The following is a 6,286-nucleotide window of genomic DNA, read 5'->3' on the forward strand; positions in this document are numbered from 1 at the left end:
AATGACAAGACTGCCAATGAAGGCTAGATGTTGATGGAAAAGAGCTAATGGCACAAATCACCAATCCCTGCAATGTGAAAAAGCCTGGAGCCAGGAGACATGGAAGTCCAGGGAGAAAAACGAGCAAGCCGTCCCAATAGGCAGTGGAGGAGGTTGGAATATGTTTCTTCCTCTTTCAGCCCACGCAGACACAAATGGGCAGAAAACACTGATGTTGGTGAGGTTACGTTTCCCTGATTCTAATGCTGACTTCAGCCATCCTACCTAAAAACTTTAGAGTAGTATATTAGAAACAATAAAATGGAATGTTTGCATTTGGGGGCATTCAAAAGGAAGTCTAAGAATAATCTTTATTCTTCTCAACCGCCCCAGCCTCCATACACATACACACACACAATATCCCCGCTGATTAGAAGCCATTCACTTGATAGTTACATTTACAGAGATAATTTCATTCTGATTATAATTTCTCTTTCTTTTAAAAACTAGGTCAGGAACATGTTCTTCCATACTTTTATACTCAATAGTTGGTTTTTGTTTTGTTTTGTTTTCCATTTTAACGTAAAAACATTTGTAATGGCAGTCTTTCTACCTTTTAGAGAGATTTTTTTTCACCAAAATACATGAAACAAAAAAGTATTTGGACTTAAACATGGCATTAAACTCCCAGATGCTGAAATTGGTTATTAGCAAATCTACTACTGTTGTCATCAAGATCTTAGAAGGAGGTAGGTGTTAAAAAAAAAAATTCTGAATCCTCCTTTATAGCTAAATAATGTAGTGGATGCTGTAACCCATAGTTTATCTCTTCTGAAACCTTCCCCAGCAACTCAGCAAAGGAAATTAAAATCCTAATTAAACTCTTTTTGTTAGATGTAGCAATGAAGACAGTGCTTTCACCCTCACCAGAATAATATTGTGTTAAAATGATTAGAACACAACAAATGCTACCCTGTCTCAGACCAAGGCTCTAAATAATCATTTCTTACAATGACACTGACAATACCCTGTGATTTGCTGTGTCAAACTCCAGAGACTTATGTTGGACTCTGAACACCCTTCATGTTTTATTATGAGTATGTCATCTCTTAACTTATCTACAGAGTCATTAAAAACATACCTATTGTTTTGTCTACCCAGCAACTATTTTCCAGAAATTGCCTCACCCCATTGCCCAATCTGGAGAGTGGCAGCAGGATTTGCAATATTCCCATAATGTGACCCTGCCCCAAGTCATGCTTAATTGGTCTGAAGGTGGGCATCTAAACTTAATTAAATCTATTGGTCCCTTCCTCAGGAATGTAAAACTGGAATGAGAAACGATCATCTCTCTCTAGGTGACCAGTCTATAAATGCCAACTTCAGAACTGTTTCTGCTACGTGTGGACTGCAAACAAGAAAGCTGATCTGCATTGAGAAAGTAAAGCAGATGTGGGGAGAGGGGCAGAGAGAAGGGTCAAAAGGAGAAGAATTTGGGGGTTTTCTTTTGTGCTCCACTTCGGGTGGTTCTATGCCTGAAGTTCTTGTGTCTCTTGGATTCTATTAATTACTTCAGTAATTCTCCAATAAATCCACCCTTTTTATTTGTAAGCTAGTTTGAGTTGGGCTTTGATTCCTCACACCAAAATAATAAAAACCCTAACTAATATTCATGTATTCAATAAATTTTTATTTATTTAATATTTAACATATAAATTATTTCTATTTTAACATGTTGTATCTCTTGAAAACACAAGTTTCATAAGCTTTTAACTCATTTCATCTAAAGAACATATCTTTCAAGTGTCAAAAAATGCCTTCTAATCTGAGATTTGATGTTAATTTTGTGTTCCCCATATGTTTAATTATTGAAGAACCTTGTTCATATCCTCCCAAGCCTTAGTCTATTTAGTTCAGTTCAGTTCACGCATTTTTGATCATCTACTTTGTGCCAGACAATGATGTGGTGATGTAAACTCAAAGATGAAAGAAGAGATTTCACAATCTAGTGGAAGAAAAATATTTGTAAATGAATAATTAAGATGTAATGTGCCAAGAAGTAACACAGAGGTGCAGTCACGTATTAACAAGGGAGTTTTTAACATTCTGGCTAGCAACAGACACCTATTTTTTCCCCAACACTCATCCTCCAATTTTTCTAGAAATTTCTCTTTTATCTTCCCCATCTTTACCATAGTATTCCTTTTCTTCACCCAAGAGAGATGAATGTCATGTGATCTATTCTGTCTCTGCTCTGGCTACAAAGACTAGGAAACGAATGCAAGCTGTGCAAATTAGAGTGCCTTGATATCTAGCCCCCAAAATTAACCCCAAAGATTCTCACCTCCTGTTATTCATACACTTATGTAGTCTCTTCCTACACTGAATGGGTCTGCCCTATGTAACTATCAGGATATTAAGGAAAAACAGAGTATGACTTCAATGTCTAAGTCATAGAAGATGCTATAGTTTCCACCTTGCTCCTTTGGGTCATTCACTCTAGGGAAAGCCAGATGCCATGTCACGAGAGTCCTCAAGCAACCATATGGAAGTGTCACATGGCATGGAACTGAGGTCTCTTGGAAACAACCTTCATTAACTTACCAGAATTGTGAGTGAGTATAGTTGGAAATGGATCCTCCAGCCTAGTTAATCCTTTAGATGACTGCAGCTCCAGCTGACATCTGAACTGCAACTTCATTTGAGACACCCCCTTCAAGACAGAACCATCCAGCTAAGCTGTTCCTAAATTCATTTTGCACAAAAACTGTGTAATATAACAAATGTTTATTGTTGTTTAAAGCTGCTAAGTTTGGGCATAATTTATTACACAAGAACAGGTAATTAATATCATAGCCCTTTGGAACTAATTTTTCCAAGAATGGGCAAATAACCTGTTAGGGCAATGAGTAATTTCCCCCAAATTTTTTGATGGGCTATCACAGAGAACATAAAGATAGTTTCTTTGATAGCTACACATATAAGATGTCAAACTTCGATGCTTCCTGTGACCATGTTTCCACCAGGTGGAGAAAGCCAGTCTAAAGTGAAAGAGAATGAAGTTGACACAGAGAGAAACAGAATGGCAGAGAGAAAGCCATTAGGGTGTTGGGGTCCTTCATTCTAACTATTCCTGAGACTCTGCTGGATCTTGCTTTTTCTTTGGGTATTTGACCCTTCTTCAGAGTCCTCCATCCAGATGCCATTGCCTCAAGGCCTTTGTATGTCCTGGTCATCTCTCCTTTTTTTCTCTTGGCCCAATCCTTCACTTTAGTTGGTGTGCAAATGTCATCTCACTGGCTGCACACAGTGGTTCACACCTGTAATCCCAGCACTTTCAGAGGCTGAGGCAGGAAGATCACTTAAGCCCTAGAAGTCTAGGCAGTAATGAGCTGTGACCATGCCACTGAACTCCAGCCTACGTGACAGAGACTCTGTCTCAAAAAAGAAAAAAAAAAAGTCATATCACCAATGAGATCTGACCACCCTGCCTAAAATAGATTATCCAGTGTGTGGTAGTTTTGTAATGTGTCAACCTGCGTAGGTGGAACATTTCCTAGAATTCATTTTCTGGTATGCTTCTAGTTAGAGTGGGTCACAAGGAAGATTCTTGAGAAATTTGGAGGGTGGTAGGGAAACGGTGGCCATTTTGTAGCTCACACCTACATTATTGCTGATCTGCTGACTCACTTCATTGGTGTGAAGCAGTAGCAGGGCTTGTGCCTGCAGTTGCTCTAACTTCCCCTGGATTTTCCCTCAGCTCCTCCCACCCCCGCCAGGTCGCTGGGCTGAGGAGCCCTCACTTTTACAGGATATCCTCATCACAAAGGCCAGAGGCAATAAGAATAAACATGGGTTTCCATCTGTCCTTGTCCACTTGTCCTTTCACATATATGAAATTCTAATAAGATTTTGAAAGATAAATAGGTTTTCATCAGATGGAAGAGAATTGGGTGAGAAAAATGCATCAAGCTAAGAAACAAGCAGATTAAAAGACAAAGAAGTGTGAAATGATTCATGAGGAAACATGTTTTTCCTAGAACACAAATTGCAGAGGTAGTGGTAAGATGAAAAATTAAAGAGGTAATATAAACCAAATGCTGAAATGTGTTATATACCCTAAAAAGGAGTTTCAACTTAATCTTATGAGTAAACATTTACAAAAATTTTTTGTGCATAATAATTCCTTTCTAGAAATAAAAGTTAAAAATGCATCTCCAGAGACTCTGATTCATTAAATCTGTGATATGGCCTAGAAAACTGTATTTTTAATATGTCATCCAAATGATTCTGGTCAAAGGCAATCTAAGATCACACTTTGATAAACATCATAGAACAATGGGGAGCCCCTGGAGAGTTTTAAGCAGGAGTGTCACCTGATAAGATCTGAATTTCCAAAAGATAACTTTAGATGCAGTTTAACAAAATGGATTTCAGGAAGGTAAATCTGGATATAGAGAGATATATTAGGAGATTTTTTTTTGGTGTAATAATCCAAATGAGAAGTAATGGCAGCCTTAATTAAGGCAGTAGAAATAGCAAGAAGATTATGGAGAGAAGTAATATTTAGGAAGGGTGAAGGGAGGAGGAGAATCCAAGATGAATCCCCAAATTTTTATTTGAGTAATTAGATAAATTATAAAATAGAAAATGTAGACAGAAACACAGATTCTGAGGTTGGAATGTATTTTTTAAGTGATGAGTTCAGTATGATGGATTTTAAGTTCAATATGCCTGTATGCTATTTCAGGCAAGATGCATAGTAGACACACATACGTTACATATGGATTGTTACTCAGGAACATTTTTTCTCTACATTTGATATTTTCATGCTGTGAGACCTCTGTTAGAGCAACACTTCAGTTCTCCTTTTTCCTCCTCATTCACTACTTTCCACAGAGGACAGAGGCAACTGGTAGGTGAATTTGGAGGAAATGATCGAGGCATGTGTGGCTTGACCCATTTTTTCTCCTTCCTTTGAGATCTGCCTACTTGTAGATTCAGTTGTGAGTATGGGCACGTATGTGCAGAAAATAAAATATTGAAAGAGCCTGGAGGACAGGAGACAAACCAGAAGGTATAAGGCTGTGCAGGCAGCTGCCATCTAACAGAAGTGATATCCTTTCAGAGAGGGTGTCAGGAATGGAGGCTGGACAAGGTCCTTAGCAGAGGGAAGTAGGTGTGGGGGCAGGGTGACTCTGAGAAGTATCCAGAGGAAACCTAACTCACCATCTTGGCCAAATTCAACCACAGAGGACAGGACCGGACAGAGTCAGAGGGAGACCAGACCTATAAGGCAATCCCTGCCTTCCCTTCTAGTGAACTTCAACCTAGTGAACCAGAAAAGGGAGGGGAGGAAGAGTGAAAGAGCTGACTTTGAAGGTGCTTGGACCATGAGTCAAGCCTCAGATGGGGAAGTAGAGACGTGATTGGAGTCATAATCGAATTCTCCAGCTTTTTTGCTAACTACAGGGTAAGCAAGCTGTGGGATCTGCTTGACACATCATGGAGGAGCAAAAGAGAGCTGATATAGAACAGTTGAGGACAGAGATGGGGGAAAAATAAAATCTTAATGTTTATACCCCCTTCAGGTTCATTCTGTTTAATAAGTTGGTGATGGTCAGCTGGGCATTTTTCTGGGTTTGAAGGTCATGATATTTTCGAAGAGTTATATGATCCCGTAAAGGTAAAGAATGCCTTGTGAGAAGAAATGAGGAAAGAGGACCAAACCCAGGAGTGTATCAATATTAAAGGGTCAAGAGTGGGAAGAAGAGCCAGGAAGGAAGACTAACAAATCAGAAGAATCAAGCCAAGGGAGGGGTTCAAGAAGGAAGCAGTTCTACAGTGAGTTATGCTGCATAAATGCCACCTGATGATCCCAAGCTCCAGCAGCTGGTGGATACAAATCTGATCACATTAATCTCCAACTTCACAACCACCCATCTATACAATTGCTGTCACCCTTCTCCCTTAAAGTCTCCTTTTCTGGGAGCCCTTCAAGATAGCATTCTTTCTTTGGTGCCTTTTAATGCCCCCATTGGCCCAAAGCACAAAATCTTGAATGAGCTAAAAAGACTGCATTTAACTTATTCTTCCATGTGGTGAATCCACATTCTCTTTCTTACACAAATGGGGGAGTATGATAGCAGAGACTGCTAGTTGTACTTCAATATCCTTTTTGTTTGTTTGCTGGTCCCAAGCCAACAAGAATAAAGACTGTATAACCTAGCTTTCCTTGAAGTTAGGTATGGCAATGTGATTAGACTCTTGCAACAGACTGTGAGCAAAAGTAGCGCATACAACTACC

General features: G+C 39.2%; 2 annotated features.

Annotated features, from left to right (window-relative positions):
* Positions 3,173-3,272: an enhancer, noted in NCBI's record as "active region_22594". NCBI's record gives its function as "activates an Ori minimal core promoter by ATAC-STARR-seq in GM12878 lymphoblastoid cells {active_cell/tissue: GM12878}" and the evidence as "EXISTENCE:reporter gene assay evidence [ECO:0000049][PMID:35858748]".
* Positions 3,383-3,662: an enhancer, noted in NCBI's record as "active region_22595". NCBI's record gives its function as "activates an Ori minimal core promoter by ATAC-STARR-seq in GM12878 lymphoblastoid cells {active_cell/tissue: GM12878}" and the evidence as "EXISTENCE:reporter gene assay evidence [ECO:0000049][PMID:35858748]".

Source organism: Homo sapiens, chromosome 5 (assembly GCF_000001405.40).
Source record: "Homo sapiens chromosome 5, GRCh38.p14 Primary Assembly".
NCBI classification, from domain to species: domain Eukaryota; kingdom Metazoa; phylum Chordata; class Mammalia; order Primates; family Hominidae; genus Homo; species Homo sapiens.